This window comes from Homo sapiens, chromosome 7 (genome assembly GCF_000001405.40).
Source record: "Homo sapiens chromosome 7, GRCh38.p14 Primary Assembly".
Lineage (NCBI taxonomy): Eukaryota > Metazoa > Chordata > Mammalia > Primates > Hominidae > Homo > Homo sapiens.
Window position 1 is genome coordinate 156,664,092 of NC_000007.14, and position 25,516 is coordinate 156,689,607.

A 25,516-nucleotide genomic window follows, 5' to 3' on the forward strand; every position below is an offset into this window, starting at 1 on the left:
CAGATTCTGCTCCAGTGCACACGGCACATTGCGTGATTGCCACCGTGGCTTTTACAACGTTCTGAAGGCTATAGAAAAACATTGCAAGGGCCGGGCGCGGTGGCTCACGCCTGTAATCCCAGCACTTTGGGAGGCTGAGGCGGGGGCATCACGTGAGGTCGGGAGTTCGAGACCAGCCTGACCAACATGGAGAAACCCCTTCTCTACTAAAAATACAATATTAGCCGGGCGTGGTGGCGCACGCCTGTAATCCCAGCTACTCAGGAGGCTGAGGCAGGAGAATAGCTTGCACCCGGGAGGCAGAGGTTGCAGTGAGCCAAGATCGTGCCATTGCACTCCAGCCTGGGCGACAAGAGTCAAACTCCATCCAAAAAAAAAAGAAAGAAAAAGAAAAACACTGCAAGAGCACACTAGGTGGTAATTTGTCCTGGTTGACAAGGCAAAATGATCATCTTGATTTACATGTTTGGTACAAGTGGAGAATTTCCTTGTATATATTATATATTAATGTTTAGGGGTTGCATCTATTTTATTGTTCTTTTTTAAAGATGTAATCAATGAGTAGAATATTTTACAGCTCAAAACTGGAAGAGCTTAATAATAAATGTGAGACAAATAATACACGGACCCTATCTTAGTAAAGAAAGTCATCATCATCCTCAGATGCCTTTAGAAAAGACTCTTTTCATCTAGCATAATAGTATACTATTAACAAGTTTATCTAGTTTAATCTGGGCATAACATGTGAAAATGTCATTTTTCCAATGATAGAAACAGAATTGTATTGTTTTCACCAAGAAACAAACATATGTTTCAGTAAAAAAGAGAAAATTGAACTGCTTTCCTTTAAGTACCTATAAAAATTTTAACGTAAGATTATAAGTAAAATGAGGCTTGTTAAGCTTCTAGAAATCAGATTAAGATATTTAAAATAAAAACATAACTGTGGGTCTCAGGTTCTCAACTCAGGCTTCATTTTCTCCTTACATTTGTCCTTTATATTTCCAAAAGTTCTTCAGAACTAAAAATGTGTACTAAATAAGGACCAGCTTCAGATTCATCGGTGTCTATAGGTTTCCTAGTAATACGGCCATTAAAAATAAATTCCAAAGCCAGAATGAACAATGACTTTATCAAGGCCCCTCTGAGTGAGAGACTAGCTTTGTAATGTAGTGAAATTCCAGGCATGCCAGGTTTTTCTGCGTAGTATGGGAAGCCACCCCTGAGTCTGTTCACATGCGTTCACCTCATCACCCCTTCCATACTTCTATGTGTATGCAACTCTGAGGTTTGAATTTTAGAAACTGGAAATCTTACAAAGCAAAATGTGTGGCAATTAATAAGATTGAATATGGCAAATTCTTAATGATCTGGGGAACAACAGTTTTTAAGTCTGGGAATAACATGTGAAACCAGCAGCTACATTTCTAAGTGGCATCTCCATTCTCACTGTTGGTGAACGTTAAACTGTTGCAAATTCATTTTATTTTTAACCTAAAAAAACTGAAATCACAAATTACTAGGAGAAATCAATCACATGACGCACTCCAAAGTTAAAGGTACGTCAGCGTCAGCTCCCCTGACTCTCTGTCAGTGGCTGATTCTCCACTCCCACCCACCAGCCATCTCGATTCTGCACTCCAGTGCTTTTCAGTCTTCTAGACTCTGCTGAACTATGAGAGAAATCTGGGGCTTCAACAAAGTCAGTGCCAACTTTTTAAACTTACCTTACCAAGTTAGAGGAAAAAACAAAACACCACGTACCATCAGAATCATTGTGTAAAAGAAAGACCATTTTAACACCAGAAAAGAAAAAAGTACCTGACCGCACACTAAAGGATATTCCTTTCACACTGCAGACATTTGGCCTTACACATATTTCACTCCACTGAATTTATTCTTTCTTTCTTGGCTGGCAGATAGGTGAAAACTTGTTTGCTATACTTGGGAACCATTGGTTTCGATCAAAGATAAGTTGCCTTTGGGGAAAGAGAAGTCTAATCAATAGAAAGGAGGGCAAGGAGGGATAATAGTTTGATATTTTTAGACATAGCTGATTAGGAAGTGTTTGTTTCCCTCATATGTTTTAGGATCTCACCAAGAGGGATACGTTTTTAATACTCAGGATGAGATTAGCCCAAGCCATTCTGTTTTTATAAATTAATCTATTTTGCTTGTCGAACTTTGTTCCTACATTTTTACTCCTCTACTACAGGGAGAGTTAGTGAAGTCTTTTCTTTAGTTTTCATGCACCTTTTGGGTGTGTTGACGAGTGAAAAGGGACCCTCTTTCTGTGAAGAGGAATGCTTGCATACACTGCAGGTTTCTTTTCACAAAGTTGTGTTGCTCTAAGATGTCACTGACACATTCCTAACAAAACCCAACCACAGCAGTGATGTCGTGCTACAATGTAGATCCTTTCAGCTATATTGAAGTCTTGTGGTAAGAATTGAAAAGGTCAGATGTTGAGTTTTGTACCCTTAGGTAAGTGTCAGAGAATAAAAATTCACTCAGAAATGCCTGTGTCAGAGAGGGTGTTTGAGTTGTCTCGGGATGATACAGTAGTCCTCGAACACTTATTCATTCAGGTTTTGAGGAACGCAGATCAAAGAGGCCTGGAAAGGTCACTCAAGCTGTTCTACTAATACCTAGCACCGGTGTGTACAGAAAGTCCACAGTGTTGCCCAGAATGCAGCGGCTAGGCCTGACTGCCTTTGATCCTTATCTAGAAACTCTGCTAGCATATGTCATATGATTGAGGTAGGGTCTTTTATTGCTGCAATTAAAACTTCTCAAGTGCATTATATTATCTCCGCCCCAGCTAAAAGTCCCAGACATTGTTTAGAAAGTGGGGTGAGTGATTTGTCAGATGCTGGGGCGGCTTTAGGGGCTGCTGGCTCCCACACCCTCCAGCACAAGATTTCTCTGACTTTTTTCATTTACATCTCACCAAACAGCATAATGGTCTTAAAGTTTGCTTAGTCCTTTGACTTCCTTTATCACATAGAGATGGCAAACATTCTGTTGCTAACTTGAAGTGGCTCCAAGCAGCAGGACTGGAAGGATATTAAACCAGTAAAAGCTTATCAACTGATTCATTGATATGCTGTAAATTCCAGGCTTTTCATTTTGCTTTTGAGGGCGGCCATAAGTCAACACATTAGTAAGCAATTTGCTGACATCAAGATGGATCACTTAAAAAGCCCTCCTGAGTAGACAGAGTTCACCTGGGTGCTTTTGTTAGTATATTTTTTTTAAATGTTTAGCCAGCTTGTTACTTGTAAATGACCAGTAATTGTTTTACATATCAATAACTCAAACTCTTATTTAGTTTATCAAGTATCTGATATGTGAGGCTTAAAAGGAAAAATTACACTAAGACATTCATTCTTTGTAAAATTGAAAATGTTTAGGTATTTTGTCTGTTTCTGTAAAATTCATAATATCAACCACTTGTTTAAAAACTAGAAGTCAGTTGTCATTTGTTTTTGACAGTTCTTGCCCTTTCAGTTACTAAGGTCATCTAACCCACATAAAAAGCGAGGGAGTAAATAAAGGAATAAAGAAAGCTGCACACGGAAGAATCTGACAATTAAAAATATCTAATAGTAGCTGCCCATAGGATAGTACTTTGAATTAACTACAATAGTTAATAAATGTTGATTTGACTTCTAAAAGTACCACCCTTGCTAACTTCTGAATACTCAAAGCTGTAAGAATATTCATCCCAGTTCACTGTTTAAATTTGTCATAAATGTCTATGGAAGGACTTTCAGTATATTTATTAATAAGCTAATGTCAATGTTATGATTATAAGCTAAAGTTGACGTTTTACTGAATTTTGACGCTGAAAGTAACTTGAAAATCATTTTAGGTAGGCAGTGTTTTTTCTTAGTTCCCCCAAAAAGGATTTCTACTGCACTCCTTTGGAATATGTACATTTGAGGCATATATTTGCTCTCATTTCTCATCTGTTGCAAACCTAAAGTCAAAATTTCTTGAATGCTAAGGGCCTTACAAAGATGAATTGGTGCTTCCCTGAATCTAAGGCACTCATTCAAGGAGATAAGCAGTGCACACAGGAAAAAGTTAACACTGGGCAGCTGACGTGTGTGGAATGAAAGGAGCAGCAGCGCCCTGTGAGAGCTCAGAGAAGAGAGGTCACCTCCAGCCCAGGTACCTGGGACACATGGATCCCACCAGTCATTCATGTGCAGTCAAGGAAACAGAAAAATCTAACAGTGATTCACTGAACTGAGTCAACAAGTTTGGCCAGACCATAAGATTCACACAGGAAAGGAAGGAACAAGAAGGAAGGAGGGTGGCCCATGGGGAGTGACCTGGGAGAGTGTTCCCAGAGGACAGAGGCTGTTGAGGGGAGGCGGGTGGAGCCGGGCTCCAGTGACTTGCACCTGTGGGTCTTGCCACCCTGCTTCCCTCTGCCTCTGTGTCCTCACTCCTTCCTTCCCAGGTCCCCGTCCCACTGGCTGCATCTGCCCAGAGCGCCTTGTAGGCTGACTTCCCAAGAAGCCTGGCGATCCCTCCCTCACTCCGTGTCTCCCGGAGTCCAGTGCCACAGCAGCACGCTTTCCATCGTCAGCGGGGCTTTTCTTGCTACACGGGAGCTCTCTGTTAAAGGAACCAGTGTTTGTCATCCAGACCATCAGGCTAGCACAGTGCCTGTTCTATGGCAGCTGAGCAATTCCCCAACTCTTTTCACCCCAGCCCCTTTAGAAACTTGTCATTCACCATGCGGATCCTGTAAGTGGTAAATTTAAGTTAAAATTATTTACTTTAGATTGATTAAAATGCATATTAATAGTCTTTAACCACCATTACATATAAAGGGAATTGTTTTTCTCATTGAGGAAATGCTTTAATTCCTCTTAAGGAAGAAAAAAGTATGAATTGTTAATAAGTGTAAAAATGATATTTGGTTACATAGGGTAAGTGGATAGTAAAATATAAATTAGACTCAACTGCATGAAAAGTCTATGCGAACTGCTTTCATGGACTGGCACTTGGAGTTGTGTACTTTGTGAGCCTTCATTGTAAAGGGTGTGCTGACCAGCCCCTCTGGGCAGACACAGGTGCAAGGGCCCAGGTGTGAGCACCCAGCCGGCGTGCCTGTCTAGGTGCATGTGGAGGCCGCTCGGGTGGTTCGCGCCTGCTGCAGGGCACGCTTCCTGCAGGGAGCTGGGGAGAGACAAATAATAAAATATTTTGTTACAATTTTCAAGAATAAGTGCCAGGAAGAAAAATGCAAAGAGAGGAAGGGGAGAGAGAGTGAAGTGAGGGGTGAGATGTTTGAAATAAGGTGGAAATGTCTGAGGAGATGCACCCTGAACCCAAATGGAGGAACCGTGCCGTTCCCTGGAACCTCTGTCCAGGCAGAGGGCAGCACGGCTTAGCATGTGGGAGGGGCAGGCTGGCAGAGTGTGAGCCGCTGGGCACAGGTGACCCTTCCAGGACCCAGACCCCTGTGAGGCCCTGAGCTGGGCGCTGAGCAGATAGGTCATTTTCAAGAGGGCGACCCACAGCCACGTGAACACTGGAAACTGCCCTCAGAGCCCCGGGGATGCGAGGTCAGCAGCTGGGACCCAGACCAAAGAGGGTGAAGAGGGCAGGGCTGGGACTCCCAGGGAGAAGGGGCCATGGCTGGGCCCCTCCAGCACAGGCGCTTCCTGGGAGCCTCTGCAGGGCGTGCCCATGGAGGGGAGGCTCAAAATAACCAGATGAGACGTGCAGTTGGGCCTGCAGCACGCAGGGCTTGGGGACTCTGTTCCAGGTGACAGGAGGGCGGGCGGTCATGGCCTAGTGCCATGAAAATGAAACACAGATCCCTGTTTAAAAGAAAGAAAACATGGGAAAGTGCCATCCAAGTACTAAAAGTATAAAGCTGTATGTACTTCTGTGGCCTCTCTCTCCAGTGGTCATGTAGTTTTTTTTATTTGCTGTTTATTTAATGTTATTCTAAGAAAAAATTAAATTATAAATTTTATGACTTTCACAGTGCATCTTTACACCAGAATGTCAGTTTTAAGTGCAAATATTAGAGCATTTAAGTCATACGTGGAATCACCAAAAGCACACAATTCGTATTTCCCACCCACTAGGGCACACACATTTCCTTCTTTGCAGAGGAGCTGGATGCTAAGCACGGCTGGCTCTACTGTTTTGACTTTGGCTCTTGATACACACACATTCTAGTCAGGCCCTGCCTTCAGCTCACTGAGGAGTCAGGTCTGCAAGGGGGGCCCTGCGTTTTGCATCCCCTGGAAAGCGGGTCCAGGGAAGTGACTTGCCTAAGAGAGGATGTGGCGCAGGATGTCACTGTCAGAATTTGAAGAGAAAAGAGAACACGTGGGACAGAGGCAACAGCTTGAAGCAACAAAGGCTAAGAATTTTCCAGATCTGAAGAAGATACAAGCCACAGATTTAAGAAGCCCAAGGAAGCCCAATATGATTTTGTTTTAAGTGTCTAGTGAGCCTGCAGAACACAAAGCACGGAGTCATCTTGGAAGTGGCCAGGAACGAGGACAGACGATGGCAAACCCTGGGACCTGCAGATTTCCCAGTGGGAGCGGCAGAAGGTGAGATGGCATCTCCGTGTGTCGGGAGAGACCTAACCGCCAGTCTAGACTCCCATGTGAACCAAATGAAAGTTACATTCAAGACGAGAGGCAAAAGAAAAGCCAGACAAAAAGTGTGCCACTAGAACGTCTTCGTTAAAGGAAATTCTAAAGGATGCCTTGCATGAGGAAGGAAAATGGCCCCAGACGGGAAATCTGAGATGTCAGTGGTAAAAATGTGAGTAAATCTAATAGACATTGATTCCACCGAACAAGAAAACTCATGTCTCAGGTTAAAAGAGAGAGAGAGCTTATGACAAAAATAACATAAAGCAGGAGAGGAAAATTAAGTATGCTCAGATCCTTGTATTGGTTCGAGGGATAAAAATTCCAATTTAGACCTTAATAATGTAAGTATGCACTTCTAGGGCAATAGCTAAAAGAATAGAAACAGAGTTTTAACCTTCAAAACAGTAAAGAGAATGAATAGAAAACTTTAATTGAAAAGAGCAAAAATTAAGAAACCAATGGCAGGGCAGATGGAAGACAGAGCAGGATGGGTGCACCGTTTGTCTGTCAGTAACAACACAAAGCGGACTGAGTGCTCCAGCACCAATCAGATTATGTATGTGTTACTCAGAAGAGATGCCTGAAAACGCGAACAGTGTGTGTGTGAGTGTGGTAACATATTATATGTACTATAATATACACATAAGCTCTTTACAGAAGAAGGCTGATGTGCTGATACCTGACGAAAGAGATTCTAAAGCAAAGGCATCATTAGAGATAATGGTGTAGAACACCACACCGAGCAACGGCAGCACATATTTTCTTTCAAAGTACAAATATATCATTATAAAAACTGACCATACGCTTGTCCATGATGCAGATGTCATCATAGGTCGAGACATTTATGTTTTATAAGTTCAGCTTCTAGATTCGGGGGTGCCTGTGCAGGTTTGTCACTGGGTGTACTGCAGGACGCCGATGTTTGCGGTACAGGCGGTCCTGTCGCCCAGCTCATGAGCACAGTCCCCAACAGTTAGTTTTTCAGCCCGTGTCCCTCCCCAGTCGTCCTAGTATCTCATGTCACCATCTTTATGTCCACGTACTTGAAGAAACTTAAGTCGTGTAGAGTATGTTCCCTGACCACGGTGCAGCTGAGGCTAGAAATAAATTTTTTTTAAAAAAATAGAACTATCTCACGTTTGAAAATAAACGGTTCTAAATAACGTATTAATCGAAGACAAAATTATAATGGAAATGAGAAGAAATTTCAGTTGAATAGCAAAAGTACATATCAAAACTTGTGGAATGGAATATTTCATCAAAACTTGTGGAAAGGAATATTTGCGTCTGCCATGCTAGGTTTTCTTCTGTGGAATCAAACACCTGAGTGTGGAATTAGTTTGTGATTCTTATGTATATTAAAATATCCTAAGCATTTATTTGCTTTCTTGCTATATTACACCAGTTACCATTAAGACTGGAGCACTAAGTGTTAAGGGCCACCCTCCCTGAGATTTATTTGGTATATATGCAAAACTGACAAGTCTGTTTCTTTCAACAAGTGCCTACTATGGTCGGTGCGTGTACTGAGCTCTTGAGAGGGTTTAAAGGCAGGGTGTGACGACGACAGGTGCAAAACCCTTTAAAAACCCTGGATGCTATTACCAGCGTTAAGAACAGTCCTGGCCCCAGGACTAATAAAGGAGATAGGACCTGTATGCCACAGTGACTGAGGCAGAAGGAGGCAATAGGTGACATCAGTATTGGACCTCAGGGTCTTTGTCATCAATAGGGCCACTTAGGAGTCACCCAACACAGTTGTTCAGAGCATATGAGCTCTATTTCCATCTAAAGTGTTTGAAGGAAAATGTACTTTAAAAAGTCCTAATGATGCTGTCTTTGGAAGTTTATCTTGAGCTAAGTAACTCATTTATGTAACATCAGGACAGCTGGGATTGCTCCAGGCATCCTGTAGAGAGAGCGATACACTCACGTATGATAGAATATATGCACACACAGGTGACACTGTAACATAAATGCATATAGATGTACATACATATTTATATGTGGCCCGCACACTTACTCTGTTCCTCTCTCAAGTGGCTTCTGAAAGCGCACGCACAGCGATACCCATGCTTGGAGTTGGGAGGTGACACCTCCAGGAATGATAACTAATGCTGTGTTAAATAACTTTGCATATTTAAAAATGTGATCGGTAACTTCTATGACCGTGGTTCTTAAACCTGAATGGGCCTCAGAATCACCTGGAGGGCTGTAAAGCATATCGCAGGGCTCACCCCGCGGACTGTGGCCTCGGCAGGCCCGGGGCAAAGCCTGAAAAGCTCTGCTTTTCTCACAGATTCCCAGGAGCTGAGGCTGCGGGGTCTGGGCCCCACCTTGAGAATAAACACCCAGATCATATCGATCATTTCATTCAATTGATCAGTCATTCCAAATAGTACTTTTATGTCCAAAACTAATCTCAGAACATACCTCACAAGTTGAAACACTTTGCAAGGTCTGGACTAGAATGTGACCCTTTTTCTGAGGTATAATTTTGAAGGAAGAAAAGATCTTGCTTTTCAGGCATATGTGGAAAGTATCTCACACTTAAAAACAATTTACAGAAAACCTGAATTACAAAGCATCAATTGGAGGTAACTGTGTATATTTCCAAGTAATTTTTCCTTTTACAATGTATAGAGAACTCTTCTACTTTCAATAATTTATTTAGATATTATTAGATATTTGAAAGGCCAAGGAATAAAGAAAATTAAAATTAAAGCCTTAGGAAACGTTACCGATTCAAGACCCTAAATTAAGATACAGCTGCTTGGCAATTATAATTACATTCAGAGTGAAAGAGAATTTGACTCATAAATAGAAAAGCAGCTTCCACCAGGCTTCCAAGTACGGCTAATCCCAAAACACAGGTGCCTGGAAGATCCTCAGCCACCCCCTTCATTCAAACCCCAACCCTTGTGGACTGCCTGCTGTGTTCACAGAATGTTCTTTACTCAAAAGGACCTCTCATCCTTAAAGCCAATACTCATTCTTCTAACATCCCAGGGAGAAAGGCAGCTCATAGTCTCCACAGCACTCGACCCTGCGCTGTCTCACGATCTTTTTGCAGAAGGGAGAGAATTGGAAGAGAACTCCATGTCCTCAAAGGCACCTTCAGAAGTCTGGTGATTTAAATACACACTACGTTCTGCCAGGTTGCTCCACATTAATAAAAAAAAAAAAAAAAGAAAAAGTGAACGTGAGGACTCCAGTAGACTAGAATATTTGAAACCTGGACAGTCATGGACCATCCAAAATGCATTTTCCCCATCACATATCTAAATGTGTGAGATCTCCACGGGACTTGTTCATTTCATCCTTCTTTGTGCTTCAAGCCGGATTCCATGAAGCAGATGTAACTGCTGAATCGGCACTTCTCACTGCTGGACAAATAACCCCCCGAATTTCAGTGACTGAAAGCCAGAGCTTCGGTCTCATAGGACAGTTCAGGTGTCCTGGCTTGCAGGCAACATGCCAGCCTGTGGGGCTCGGGAACTGTCTCCCTCTGCCCTTTATCTGCCACCCCCCGGGCCTGGAGAACACCCAGAAGAGACATGAGCCACGTCCATCTGGAAGAACTACTTCACGTGGCCCCACCTGGGCATGGGGGAATGGGAAATGTCATCTCTGGGTGAGCCACAGCTCTGTACTTGAAAGGACAAGCAAGAGGGCAGGAAGTGTGGCTGACAGTCACCATTGGCACAACCTTTTACACACCTTATTCTCCTTTGCTTTACACTCTTCACATGTACTAAAAAGGAGCCGCTGGTGTGGCCCTGAATGAGCCACCTACCCGTGCCTCAGATGACACTGGTGGCCACTCTGTAATGACTCAGACCTTTCTAGTGTAGGATGGCTTGAGCCCGGGAGGCCGAGGCTGAGTGAGCATTGATGGCCCCAAGCACTCCAGTTTGGGTGACAGAGCGAGATGCTGTCTCCACCAAACCAAACAAAAATACCAAAAAAAACAAAGTACTGTATTCAATTAATAAACGTTGAAGTGATAATATTTTGGATCTGTTGGGTCAGATACAATATTAAAATTAATTTCACCTTTTAAAAAACTTAATGTGACTGCCAGAAATTTTAAAATTACATACGTAGCTCACAGTATGTTTCTATGGGACAGAGCTGATCCTGCGAAATTCGAACTTTTCTCTCAACTTTTAATTTCAAATGTGTTCCTGCTAATGGTCAAAGCTCACAACCAAGAAAACAGCAGGGGAGGGAAACAATATACCCTTTTCCCCTACCCTCCTAAATTCTTCAGCTGGAGCCCTGTAAGTTAAGCTTAACGAGAAAATTACACGGATTTACTTAGTAAGTCCCATGTGGTATGGAAGCCTTCCTAAGGCAGCGCAGACCGGAAGAGATAGTGCAGACCCGAAGAGGCAGCGGCGACCCGAAGGGGCAGCGGAGACCCGAAGAGACAGTAACGCCTGAGCGCTTTCTATGCTAGGTTGGATGAGGACACAGAGGTCGTGGGGAAGCATGACAGGACAAGGGGTGAGCTGAGGGTGGTCGGTGGGAACCACGGCAAGGCCTGTGTGCTGTCTCCTCCCGGCTCCCTCCGTCTTTGGAGACGAGGGTGCCTCTCACAGGAGGGTCCTGTGACCCACTTTAGGGGTGGGGAGAGGTCAGACGGTCCCTCCTGCAGCTGTCATTTCTCAAATTCCTTTGGGAAGGAATGTTTTTTCCTTAAAATATTCAGTATGCCAAGGTGCCGTATTTTGGGGTAGTGTGTTCTGGACTCCATCAGATAGGGGTTCTTGTGGTCATCTGTCCAGATTATCTGGATTTATAGTTAAGTAAAATAGACATATATCTATTTCCCTAAAAAGTATTATTCGAAGACAGAGACGAGGAAGGTTACCAAAATAGATGGTCAGGCTCGAGAGCGCTTCCCTGCAACCTCCACCGAGCTCAGGTGTGAGCTTACCCGCCCCCGCCTCCTCCTCAGTTCACAGAAATCAGCCACCGCATCCTGTGCTCATACAACACCAACATTGAAGAGCTCTTTGCAGAAATCGATCAGTGCTTGGCCATAAATCGAAGTGTTCTTCAGCAGTTGGAAGAAAAATGTGGCCATGAGATCACAGAAGAGGAATGGGAGAAAATCCAAGTGCAGGTAGGTTTGGCTGGCAGCCTGGCAACCAGCAGACTCAGCTGCAGCTGCAGAGGCTGTGGGGAGTGGCATGTGGGGGGAGGTCGAGGACTCACTTTGGGGAGCCTAGGAGTGTCAGGCCCGGGGTGCAGCCGTGGAGGCTGTGGGGGTGGCATGTCGGGGGAGGTCGAGGACTCACTTTGGGAAGCCTAGGAGTGTCAGTCCCGGGGTAACCGCTGCCCTAGCTGCCCCTGCACCTGTGGTAGGACTTTCCTCATGGGCTTTAGGGTGACGGCAAAGGTCCCTTCAGTTTGAAATTCTGGAAGTTCCTGTTGGATGTTGCTTATCACAGGTGGGTTACTAACCCTTTCCACAGTTCCCAGGAGTAACAGAGTATATGTGTGTGTATATATATATGTATATATATAAATAAAATGCATGTGATTTTAACACAGAATGAAACTTCCGCATGTTTCGAAGACCCATGTCTCGGGGCACATGGTTCGCATTTCAGTTTAAGTAACTTTCTGCTGTGATGAAACTAACCCGCGTGGCCTCTTCCCGTCCTGTGTGCCGCAGGCTCTGCGCCGGGAGACCCACGAGTGCTCCATCTGCCTGGCCCCTCTCTCCGCTGCTGGCGGTCAGCGCGTGGGTGCAGGCAGGCGTTCCAGAGAGATGGCCCTCCTGTCCTGCTCACATGTGTTCCACCATGCGTGTCTGCTGGCACTAGAGGAGTTCTCCGTGGGAGACAGGCCTCCTTTCCATGCCTGTCCTCTCTGCCGCTCCTGCTACCAGAAGAAGATTCTTGAATGTTGAATTCATAGTCAAGGAAAGTTAGGTAATTCTGAGGAAAAAAGTTTACCATCATTTTGGATGAACTGCATGAGTTCTGGGTTAAGTACTACAATGTAATCTGTTTCCCAGGGAAATAAGCTATTGGTAGTTGTAGGAAATCTTAGTATATTTTAAAAGCTGACATCCCACCTAATTTTAATCTTTGGTCTCTAAAAAGTAAATTTCAAATTTATGAGTTTAATCACTTCAAATATGAATAGCAAAAAATGAGAGCTTGCTTACTTCTAAAAATTGAGGTTAAGATATAGCTAGTGTCTGAACGACACTCCTTAAAGTAAGTTCCAAATGTAAAACACTCCTTAAGTTCCAAATGTTTTCCGCTAATAGTCTGTCCTAAAGCCTTTGCCATTCCTAATACTCGTTTTGTAATAATTGCTGTATTTCTGTGTAATAAAATATAAAAATAAAATATTCAGTGGTATTCAACATCAAAAAAGTGCAAATTTTAATGTCTTAGAGCAATAAAGACTGTTTTAGTTCACACATTTTAAAAAAAAGTGAACCTTTTTGGATAAGAATTGTTTTTGTCACTGGTTTACTATTACTGGGAGCTTGGTTATTTACAGTAACCAGTTACAGTCTCATCGGTTAGGTTACCCCTAGCCGAGTAACAGATAAAGCCCCAACTCTCAGTGGCTCGCTGAAGACACATGATTTCTGAGGTGTCCAACCCATGTCAGCCATGGGTGAGGCAGGGCGAGGGTACACCATGTGTGACCCTGGCTCCTTTTGTCTTGTGACACAGTCTCCTTTGCCCCCGAGTCCCCAGTGAATCCTGTCACTGCTGGTGGAGGGGCAGGAGGACATTGTTCCAGGCCATGCTTGGGAGTGGCGCTCATCACTCCAGCCACAGTAACTACAAGGGGCAAGGAAAGGGCAGGGTGTAGGCCTAAGAGGAAGAGGCCAAGTGGGTGTGCACATGGCATGGGCTCAGAATAACCCAGCATCTAATGTGAGAAGAAATGCCAAAATTTCTATTTATTCTTATCTCATCCCTTAGAAAAAATACTCTCCTATGTTTTGTGATGTACACATTATATAGCTACATATGTATGTATCATTTATGAATAAATATGCATATATTGGGATGTGCTCATTTTTTAAGGATGTATACTATCAAAAAATTTGCAGACTAATTTGGAGAATGCTTTAAACAATGAGTAAGCACTTTTATTCTAAGAGAGCAGAGGGAAACTGAATCACAGAACCTCAATTTTCTGTAAGCTGACATCTCTCTCCCCATAGCGTTGACAGGCAAAGCACAGGCACGTGTCAAAGGCCAGAGCAGTCCGATTCCGCCGCCCTAAACTTTGGATCTAGAAGGAGAGTCCCGGAGATACATGGATCATTCAGTGATGGGAAGAGCCCAGGAAAGGTTGTGCCTAAGGCTGTGCCCAACACTTCTTCCGGGGCTTTCTCATCACATCTGTGAGCCATGCCATCCACCCCGTAAACCTTCCGTGCCTATGTTGGCAGAGTCCATCTCTATTCTTTGCAACCAAGTGCAGTACTTTACTGACACAGGAACTAGTGTTAGTTGCAGGCAACAGATACTTAGGAAAATCGGTGGGATGAAAGGCAGGAATGGTCATCTAACTTCACTGAGGATGAGGGTCGCGAAAATCCCATGAGTTCTGAGGAATGGTCCAGGGCAGCCTGTGACAGTTAACAGAAAATCAGGCAATTTTCTTACTGAAAAGTGGCCATGGAATGGCGCGCCCATCGAAAGCTTGCGAGACCAAGTTGCAACCACAGAACGCTAAAAAGGACCTGAATGAAGTAGCTACTTCTCTGGACAATTTGAAGATAACGCCACATTGTCAGGTCAAGTCAGGAAAACAGTGCAAGCTTTTATACAATTACTCCACAGCCTCATCAGGTCTCTTCTATAAAAACTGGGACACTGACCAAGAAAGAGTGGGGCCTTTGGAAACATGAGTTCATGGGAGGACTCAGCGGACAGGGAGAGCCCTGTCTGCTGCCCTCATTGTGTCTTCCTGGTCAGCTACAGCAGTCCCTACGGGATGTGGCCATTCCTCCCTTATTTTAACAGGTTGGAACCCACTTGTCTGACAGTCACCTTGCAAGATGAAGCCACTTCTTGTGCCTTCTCACACATCCCTTTTTGCCTTTAAATCCACTTAATTAGGAGCCTACCATTCCATGGGCGGGGGGAATCATTAAATCACTATCAAGTCCAGAAAGAGAATTCTTAGCGAATTGTGGGACTGGAGGCATTTGATAAGAATAAAGGTTATAATCTAGAATGAGGATACCTGTCATGAATCTTTATCAACCAGATAATAGAACTGTAAGGTACATGAATGAACAAGAAACTGAAAACCTAAAACAAAGAAAAAATGAGACTGCGGTTGTACTGGCCTGTATTTACATCCAGTTCATCTGCCCACTGTAAGCGTGACCCCAGGCAAATGTCTGCAGCTTTCTCAGTGGCGTTCCTTGTCGGTAAAATGCAGATGTGTATTTTCGGCTTCGCAAGGTGGTCCTGGGGGTGACTGTGGGACGACAAAGAACTCGACCCTCCACACCACGCCCCAGGCCCCTCTCACCACCCCTGCTTCCAAGTCTTTGATGAGATTCCACAGTAAAGACTAAAAAGAAAAGAAAAAGTGAATCACTCTTCAGACTGAAGGATAGCCAGGCCAGAGAGGTGGCGAGGAGGAAGTGAGCAGGAGGAGGACGATGCTCCACTTGTCACTTAGTTCTCTGACTCTACTGTGGAGTCCATATAGAACAACTGTGGATGACTTCAAGATGCTGTTAAAGAGAAGTTGCAGAATCAATATAAATAGCTACAGCAGTATCAAATATGCTTGGTTCTGAAGTGTCAGTGTTTGTAAGCGGCATCGTTCATTCAGTAACAGCTTTTCAAAGGAAAGGAAAGGAGAAGACATTACAACAGCCACAAAACAGTTTTAGTAACTGTTAAAACTTCAGTTCTCAGACCCATAGCCCACACGTGACTCTCCACCTCCTCACACTCAGACACAACAGATTCTTCTACATCACTCTAGTCCTCCACAACCACTCACATCAGGGCCGCCCTGCTGTTCATAATCCAGGCTCATAAACTTGACTTCTGTACCACCTTTAGAAGTAACAGCAGAACACCAAATCCATATCCAAGAATAATGAGGTTTTGTGTGAAGTTCCTATTTGATTATAGTTAACCTTGAAAAAATTTTTTCCTAATTAAAGAACACAGAATTGGAAGTTAAATAACTTCTCTTGAAAAGGTAAGTTTATTGCCTAATATTCCTTCAAGACATATGGATCAATCACCAAGTTTTGAAATTTTGTATATATTTGTGAGTTTTAGGAACTTCTCCTGATATTACATTTTCTACAGTGCAACAAGTAATTTGCGTACACAGTACTTTTGCTTCAGTTGTGTTTGCAGCAATAATTTTTACCTAAACAATATTCAAAAACCAAAAAAAAAAAAAACTCCAAAAAGGTCTTTGTATTATTTCTTCTTTTAAACCACATTCCAAAGGGATGCTTTTCAAACTGAAGTCTGCCATCTATTAGGAGGCCACAAAGTAACTTAGTGTCTGTGTCTAGTATTTTTAAAAATAATAAAACAGAAGATGCCAGCATGCACACTTAGGAAAAACAAGTACTGTCTTGTTAAATTTTTGCTTATACGTATCTGAGAGACAGAGAGAGAGAGAGAGAGAGAGAGAGAGTGTGTGTGTGTGTGTGTGTGTAATGGGTTATTTCTTACTGTGGTCAAAAAGTTGAAAGCCACTGTAAGTAGGCTTCTGTCTGCCAGTAAATTAACCAGATGCTAACAGCATTTATTCTTCCAGGAACTCTGGGTTAAGCTGTCCAGACCACAAGTAGGTGCTGTTCAGTCCTTTTATGGAAAAAATTAGAGAAATCAAGTCTAAATAATTCAAGTAATTAAATAAAATACATGCTATCAATTATTGATGCTACATTGTGGGTTATAAGAAATTGATCTACCAATAACTGCACAACAGAGAAAGAAAATATCCATTTCTTAATTCAACATTCATCAGAATAATTACTGCCCTCTATAAAACTGAAATGGAATTAAACTATAAATACCCTTAAGTTTTAGCCATGATAATATTTAAGATGGAAAAAACAAAAGAACAAATAAACCCCACATATAAATGCTTATAAACCAAATATGAAATCACTTTTTGTACAACTTTTAATTTCTAAGACATTTAAAAAGTCACACTAAAAGTATCTCATAGAAACAAAGACTAACAATTTGTAAACAAAACAATCTGTAAACAAAAATCAATTACTAGTGTGTCCAAATGTTATTTTTAAAAGTTAACATTATACCAGTTTTTTCAAGTTTAAAAAGTCGGTGCTGCATCTATGTTCACATTAAAAAAAAAAACTTGTAAGAATTCTGCCTTTATGCATTAAATAACGTGCTACCAACAAAACTAGCACATAAGAGCCTGTAAATGATGAAAACCTGTGTCCCTGGCAGACGAGGTCATCACTGAGGCTGCAGGGAGGGCCATGGGCACCCAGCAGATGGGGAGGCCGCACTGCCGCTGAGAGCAGGTACACGTGCGCCTTTAACACATCTGAGAGCAAAACGCGAGAGGCTCCGTCCATCTCTACTAACCAGCACCTTAGTGCAGCAATTTAAGGAGCTAACATTAGTGTGTATGTGTGTACAAATTTCATGTAAAGCCTCATATTTAGAGGTCTATTTTTACAGAGAATGTACATAAAGCTACGTAAATAGTAAATCTAAGAAGTATCTTGGAAAATCAGTAAAAATTAATACAAATGTTATAATCTGAAAACTTATAATTGTAAAATAATTTATTTAAGTATTGCAGAACCAATTAATAAGAATCTGCAAGTTTTCCCCAAGAAACTCTGGAACCATAGTGCCTAATGCCCTTTAAAATCGATACTAAAGGAGAGAGAATAAAAGGACTGCTTGATGTGACAGTCACTGGTGCATCCCTATCCAGTCAGAAACAAAACTGTAGCTCCAGAATTGACCTGATGATGAGCATCTGCAGCTCTGCCTTCCAGGGTCTATCTCCTCTCTTTCACTGGCGTGCAGGAACTGCAGTAAAATGAGGACCCCCAGAGCGACTGTCCTTACCAGGACTCAGAACGTTTGGCCTCCGTATTCTGGCATCCATTTCTGGAGTTCGTCATATAAAGCAGCCTCCGACCTAGCTCCAATGGAAGCACCTGCATTTGGAGTCAGTCTCTCCAGAGGCAGATGCTTGGGCATGTGCTCAGGAAGAGCCTCGAGGAACCGTGATTACGCAGCAGCCCAAGGCTGTAACAATCTATTTGTTCTCAAGGCATATGAGTCCCAGGTTCGAAGCCGTCCTTCCACCCCATGCATATCCTTTGCTTCAACAGCAGTGAGGATGCCTCCAGGAAGTGTATTGTACTCAGGGCTTACAAATCCAAAACTGGCTTAAGTCCTCGGATGGAGAGAAACTTCCAAATGAACAAAAAGTTGAGCTAAACACTGAAAAGTTTAGTATTTTACTTAAAAATTTTCAGACATTTTCCAAGTATCTAGGAACTCTTTGGATGTGCCTGAAAGTGGTGTAAGTGAGAAGTGATATTACTCTACTCCTGAGTTTCTTTCTGTTCTTCCCTTCACTTGGTCTGCTCAAAGTATGGACTCCAAGCTTCACTAAAAATCAAACCTGGCAATTAATACTTCAATAGGCATAACAATGAAATTGGAAAAGAGCTGAATTTTATTAACTTTTTAGGTATGTCGATTTTATGCTGAGAAATTCACCAGTACTATACTGGTGGTATTTACTGAAGCTTGTTTAGAATCACAAAATGAATGTTCTTTTATTTTAAAACCAAGCTGCATTTTAGAAAGATGTGAAGCTCGGAAGGAAATGCAGACGTATAAATAAGGGGGAAGTGTACTCAACAAAGGTTGTAAATATACAGATTAAAGTTTCTTATTATTTTGGTTTAAAGTGGAAATTTCTGATGTCAAATAGACACAGCCTGCGTTTCATAAATTTCTCCCAGAAAACCTTTAAATGTAACAATTTGAAAAAAATGTTTTACTTTTGTCTGAACACAGACCATCTATTTTCATACACACAGTGCATGTGAACATATTTATATAGCAGACTGCATAACTACGAATTGTGTGCAAATGGGCCCATCTCCTATTTTTGCATGCACAGATTTCGGTATTCTATCCTAGTGGATGGTTGACACAGAGTGCAATTTCATAGTTTTTATTCAGTGGACTTAAAGCCAAGAAACCATCCCAATAATTATTTACAATTTAATAACTGAATGATTATCAGATCGTGTTATACTGCAAAACTGTTCTTACACCATGAATGCTGATGCTGTGAACTTTGGATGTTAAACTGGTAAAAGCTGGAGGCTTCAAATGGCATATGCAAATGTAACCAAAGCCTGAGGACTATGAAGAAAGAGGAGTTTCTACCACTCGGCATTTATAGTTTTTATATGCATTGCAGAAGCATGGGGAATTAAGTGATCTCTGAAAAAAATGCTTTAAAAAACTGAGTATACATATAGCCTATAAGGTAAAAATCCAAGTTACAAGTGTATTAAACACTGGCAACTATGTTATCAGAGGGAATACTGAATTATATATATACATAAACTGTCATTAAACTGTGATTACATGATACTTCCTACCACAGCTTATTAGACTGTACAACAGAAGATATTCCTGTGGCTCTCTAAGGCTCCAGGTTTAAAAGAATTTAGTATTTTCCCCTTGGCTCAAAGTCTAATCAGTATCATTCTATAACATAAATCAGAAACTACGCTTTTTGCTTTTAAGGAAATAAGAAACATAATTGCAACCATTACAGCTCCAACATACACTGCAAAAATGATATCTACAAGCAGTTGCCATTGCATTTGAAAAATGCATTTTCTGAATAAGCTTCACTTAGTACCAAGGATGCCTTTCAAGTCAGCTTCTACATTCTGAATAAAGTACATAATGGGATTTAAGTAAATCTTTAGAAGTCCCGGAGTTTGCCTTTTCTAACATTTTCATATCAGGTGAAAACAATTTTTTCATATGGGTGATTGTATTTACCAACATGAGCAAATGTCTACAGAAGAATGCGCTGTTCTATATGTCTGTAAGGAATCTGCACTTAACTGGAAACTACAGGGTCCATCAGAAAGTTAAATTTAAAAAAGATCAGCCATAGCCAAGTTCTTCGTAGATTATGAAAAAAAAATGGCACTGATAGGTCTAGGTTCTGAAGAGGGGCCACGGTTGAATGGAAATGCTTCTACATGGGACAGGAATGTCGTGAATCTGGAGTTCTCGGGTCTCTTGGTGGCAGAAGACGCCGTCTGTGCGTCTCACAGTGCTTTCTGATGCCCATTTACAGAAGGCTTGGCTGTTTCTGAATCCCTTGAAGTATTTGGTAAGTGAAGTTTATGAAGCCCTGCAAAAAAATTAAGAAAATGGTGAGAAATGATATATTGCTGAGTGGCTGGGAAAGGGTTAGGGTAGGGAGAAGAGGAGATTTACAAAGCTAAGTGTTATTTGGAAAGCTGTGAGGTGCTGGCCAGATCCCCTTGAGGAATGAATGATTTCTTCTCCCTACTGGCAACCTCCCTTTGGGGATGGCCTAAGCTGAAGACTGCTGCAAGGCGGAAGTCCTGCCCCTTCCAGGACAGCACGTGAGGGTCCTAAGAGCCTGTCCCTTCTTCTCAGTTCAGTGGAGCTCTGAAGGGCCATCGAAGTCACAACATCCCCGAGGGCCAGCGGAGGCTTCCAGTGTGACTGCATCACGGCACAGTTCCTCCCTCTGCACAGCCCCTTCCTCTTCCGTTGTCCCAACCCGGCTAATAAACCTCTTCCTGGCAAGCAGATTCCCATCTGAAGTGTGCTTCTCAGGGAACCTAACCCGAGACAGATACGTTCCCACTTGCATTTTAAAATGCACACACACAGGCTGGGCGTGGTGGCTCACGCCTGTCATCCCAGCACTTCAGGAGGCCGAGGTGGAAGGATCGTTTGAGCTGAGGGGTTTGAGACAGGCCTGGGCAACATTGTGAAACCCCATGTTCATGAAAAACACAAAAATTAGCTGGCTGCAGTGGCTCATGCCTATAATCCCAGCACTCTGGGAGGCTGAGGTGGGAGAATTCCTTGAGCTCAGCAGGTTGTGACTGCAGTGAGATGTGATCACACCACTGCACTCCAGCCTGGGTGACAGAGGAGACCCTGTCTCAAAAAAATTTTAAATAAAGTAAAATAAATTGCCCCTTACACACATGCAGGAAAATGTAGGGAAAGCCACAGCCAAATATTAATATGTAATTAAAAAGAAAAGAATGGAAAACATTACTAAAAAATAAAGAAATGACAAAAGAATAAACTGAACATAAATAATATCTCACTACCCAAAGGTATTTCACAGAATAAAAAACTATCACTATCTTTTAAAGTTACATTTATTTCTCTCTGTATCATAAAACAATTATTTACATAATATACCTGATACACAGACCAACATTGCCCTCTCACAGGGAGAAAGGGCAGAAGAAAATGTAAGAGCTTCTGTGGCACTGGAGCGTCAAGCACTTTAATAAAAATGAAACACAATGACATACAGCAACACAGTCAGGTGTTGCCGAACAACAGGAATGCATTCTGAGAAATGCGCTGTCGAGCGATTCTGTCGCTGTGATGCCATCATAGAGTGTATCTATACACCCAGAGGGCACAGCCATGCCATCCCTAGGCTGCAGGGTGTGGCCGGCTGCTCCTCAGTTACCAAGCAGACAGCATGTCACTGTCCTGAGTGCTGCAGCCACTGCGGCACCATGGCACATATCTGTGCATCTAGAAACATATGAACCTAGAAAAGCTGATGCGTGGCGCCAGGACATTACAACAGCCGCCACGCCACTGCTGGCAGAAACGGTTCAGCTCCATGATCATCTGCTGTGGCCACTGTCACATAGGCAAGTGGTCTGTTATTGACCAAATGATCATCATGTGGCCTATGGCCACACAGCAGCACTTCCACAGGGCAGATGTTGAGAAAATACTTTTCACGAAGCTCAGACCTTTCTGGCATCTCAACAACTTACTTGGAAAAGATTTTTCTCCCTAAAATTTCACATGGTAACTGACCTATTAGGCAGTTTTACATCACTCATAAACTAATATAGCACTCCAAATTTTAATCTTCCTGTCACCTGCATATCTTAATGAAAGAAAAGGTAAAACTGAGCCTATGTTTGAATGGGAAGGGAAAAAAGAAATCAATCCAACACAAAAAATGGTCAGGTCCCAGGAATGACAATAGGAACCCACAGCTGCTGGAGTTGAGGAAGTGTGCTAAAATCAAGCTTGTTAGAAAAGGGACTGAGTGAAGACAGAGGATCACTGCGGTACCCACTGACTGAGCTGAAATGAAGGCACCCTTTTAGGATCGATTATCTGAGTTCACGCCTAAAACTTGGCTGTCATGTAGGTTATGCATTCTGAAACGTTCTGATGTGTCTCTTCTGCAGACAACTCCAGAAACAATCCCGTCCATTACCACCATCACCACAGCTAAATTTCTAGTGTTTACTATGTGCTAGATATTCTCTGAGATGGATACTATTATTATCAATGGGCAGAGTAGCAGAGGGGAAAAAATCTCTACAAAAAAAAAGAAAGAAAGGGGATAGCTACTTTACAATCAAATTACAAGTCTCAGCTAAATCCCTGTTAAGATCTCAGATCATTCAAACATTACATATACTTAATAAGACTCTTTTTCTATGTATAAATTGCCCCGTAGCACACCCCAAAGAATACTGAAAAACACTGGGGAAGAAAAGTAAATGTATCTATTAGGTAGTTTTATACAACTCTTGCTAATTCTACTCTCTCTTATGGTCAAGGAACTGACATGCATATAAGGCCTTTTATATCAGGTTATGTTTTATTACTTTAATAAAGGCTTTCTTAGCAAAATGATGTCCAGAATACCTAATTCAAAAGCTAAAGTTACGGCAGTTCATTTGCAACCATCTCATTTAGCGAATGGAAAGTGGAAATTTATCTGAAACCATGGCTAACTAATCTTGCTGATATTATAACAGGCTTAAAAATTAAGTTTTAATGCTAGACATCTGATAAAAAGGACTGTTTGATTCCTACTTCAAGTTGGGCCAGCTTTATTAAACCTAAGCATTAAAAGGTATAAGTTATCTGGTGTGTCAGCTGAAATGAGCTGTGACTTTTTCCTGTCAGGCATTGCAATATTTGATGAGCCATCCCCTCCCAGGGCATATTCAAAGTAAAATACATATGGACAGCTCATCTGAAATCTTTTGTGCCTCCCAAAGGTCACCCTCTCAAACATCAAGGTTGGAAAGGCCTGGTGATCTGAGAAGCTTTATTGCTGCTCATATCGTTTAAGTTATCTGAAAACTGGACCTTAATGAATCCATCAGTATGTGGCCTTTTACAATAGCTAAAAGCCCCAGTATGGAGTCATATGCATTCAAATCATGTCAACTCAGGTAAATGAGCTAATGTCAGGATTTTTAAAAATTTTCTACAAGAAGTCACTGCCTTTCCCTTCTTCTGTCATAAAATTACAACCCCCTCCCACCCCAAACCAAGATAATTTACTTTGTCCTGGTATTTTTAAAGTATAAAACTTGAAATATGTTTAGCACTAATGTGGAAATAAGCATAAAAATACATTCATAGGTTACGTTTGTACCCTTTAGCTAAACCTACCCGTTTTTAACACCATTACAATACATGTGACTCTTGGAACACATAACAGTAAATCCCCTCTCTTCTATTACATCAATGCCAAGAATGCTAACGTTTTCATCTTGAATTTATTCTCTGGCTTAATGAAGAGACTTATGGGTTAGCCTAATACTTGCAAAATCCAAGCCTCAAAAAAGCTTTAACTAAAAGGTATTATTACCAAGAGATAAGCTTTTCACACCGTATCATCCTCACCACCACCATGACCACCATCGTCATAATAAAGGGGCTAATATTTACTGAGTTCTTAGGATGTGCCAGGCGCTATGCTAAGGATCTTACAGAATTATTTCCGTTGATCTTCACAAAAACCCTAACAGGAAGATGATACTATCACTGTATTACAGATAAGGAAGCTAAGGCTTAATGAAGGAATTTTGCACAAAGTAGGGGATCAATAATTTGACCTCTAAGGTTTTACAAATTTGGGAAACTAAATAGCTGAAGATGTAATATTAACTCAAATGTCAAAATTATTTAGTAGAAAGAGGAAAAAATACCCATAAACCTCAGGATTACCTAGGGCCTTGAAAAGTTCTTCTCGAACTGCAGAGGTGAATTTTCGGACCAGACACAATGTTGTCACAATAGCAAAAAGCAAATTGTAGGATAATACAATATAGAAATTTCCCAGCCAATTAAACCTTCCAAAGTCGCCAAGTAGATCAAATCTAGTGATTCCTGTTAAAAATAAATAAAATAGCCCTTAATGAAATCAGGTTAAGACATATTTAGTGTGCTACAAGTAAAGTACAAGTTAGATCGAATTCTATGGACTTTCTCACTTCTGTGACGTGAGATGCTCTAATGAATAAATCCTAATTTAAAATATGTAACTATTATCTAGTGGGACAGCCTCAAGCCAGACCTAACCTACTTCACATACACGCCACAGTCACTAGCAAGTGATGAGTAATGAGGTCAGAATGAACGCCCCTCGACATTCGACGGAACTCATGCTGATGTTAAAAATCAAGCACTCGTGCTGCTTACATGGGGAGGATGGCTGACTGCATGCTCTACCGAGACAGGACGGCTGTAACTGATCACAGGAAGCAAGAGTCACGATGAAAAAGATGCCTGAGAACATCCTTACACCTCCTCTGCTGCTGCTCTCTGGAGGAACTGCCCGTCCCCTCTCTTTAGTCGGGTCTCTGGGCAAATGCCATCTCCTCGGACAGGAAACCTCTGACTCCCCTACCTAAAACAGCAGGACCTTCCATGGCCTTCTATACTAATTACGAGTCTTCACAGCATACATAGACTATTTTTTTTTCTTTTTGGCTTATTATTGCCTGTTTTCCCCACTAGAATGTAGGTTCTATAAGAACAGGAACTTTGTTTCACCCCTATAATCCCAGTGCCCAGAATAATGTCTTATACACACTTAATATGTATAATATAAATGAATAAATAAGGTAATTTCCTTCCATTAAAAATTGTTAATCTGAGTTTAATGCTTATAGGCTTGTAGGGTAAAAAGACAAAGCAGGAAATACAGTAGGATGATCTAATATATGCATTGAAGTTACTTAAATTCACCTATACACATTTGTAAAAGTATTTTTACTTAAAAATAGTTTAAATAGTCATTCTATTAAATGAGCACATGGCCAGGTCCAGTATTTACTGGAAAAAAATACATGAATGGTAGGATTTTTCTGACCACTGACAGATAAATAAATCACATCATTCAGGTGTCGGTCAAGAGACAGATAATGGGAATGTCAACATTCTTCAAGGAAAAAAGGATAGAGCATTTGGGGGCCATATAAAATTTAAACTACAAAGAATTAGAATAAGTAATAACAATCGTCTATAAAATTGTATAAATAAAATTATGTACCTTGTATTTTAAGGGTGATTTAAGGATTTTTATGGGTGATCTCAAGAATAACTTTGACTATACTCAATTTTACATTATCAGTTGACCTTTGAGCTGAACTCTAATCCTCCCTCCAATGCAATGGCATAATCTACTACAGATAGCCTCTACAAAAGCAGCTTAGAGAGACAACAGAAAAACCAAATACAAACATTGTCATAAAAACAGGAGATCTCAAAAGTAGCTCTTCTGTAGCCACTTCTACCCAGGAC

At 41.7% G+C, this 25,516-nt stretch overlaps 2 protein-coding genes across 51 annotated transcripts in view; one reads left to right on the plus strand and one right to left on the minus strand.

Moving 5' to 3' along the window:
* RNF32 (ring finger protein 32) overlaps window positions 1-13,039 on the plus strand; it is a 36,927-nt gene extending 23,888 nt beyond the window's left edge. For 20 of the 23 annotated variants that reach the window (NR_131778.1, XM_011515811.3, XM_011515810.3 and 17 more), the window contains 2 exons: window positions 11,605-11,772; window positions 12,328-13,039. Coding sequence is in view for 21 of the 23 variants with exons in the window: in XM_011515811.3 (XP_011514113.1) it covers window positions 11,605-11,772; window positions 12,328-12,564 (405 nt within the window). In the remaining 2 variants the exon portion in view is untranslated. Of the gene's footprint in view, window positions 1-11,604; window positions 11,773-12,203 lie in introns of those variants that run through there. The other 3 variants (XM_047419899.1, NM_001308273.2, XR_007059986.1) reach the window with 2 other exon arrangements.
* Window positions 4,921-25,516, minus strand: part of LMBR1 (limb development membrane protein 1) — a 224,172-nt gene continuing 203,576 nt past the window's right edge. For 7 of the 28 annotated variants that reach the window (NR_146958.2, NM_022458.4, NM_001350953.2 and 4 more), the window contains 2 exons: window positions 23,939-24,100; window positions 13,700-20,072 (listed from right to left, as the gene is read on the minus strand). Coding sequence is in view for 18 of the 28 variants with exons in the window: in NM_022458.4 (NP_071903.2) it covers window positions 19,987-20,072; window positions 23,939-24,100 (248 nt within the window). In the remaining 10 variants the exon portion in view is untranslated. Of the gene's footprint in view, window positions 5,197-12,294; window positions 12,593-13,699; window positions 20,073-23,938; window positions 24,101-25,516 lie in introns of those variants that run through there. The other 21 variants (NM_001363412.2, NM_001350954.2, NM_001363410.2 and 18 more) reach the window with 10 other exon arrangements.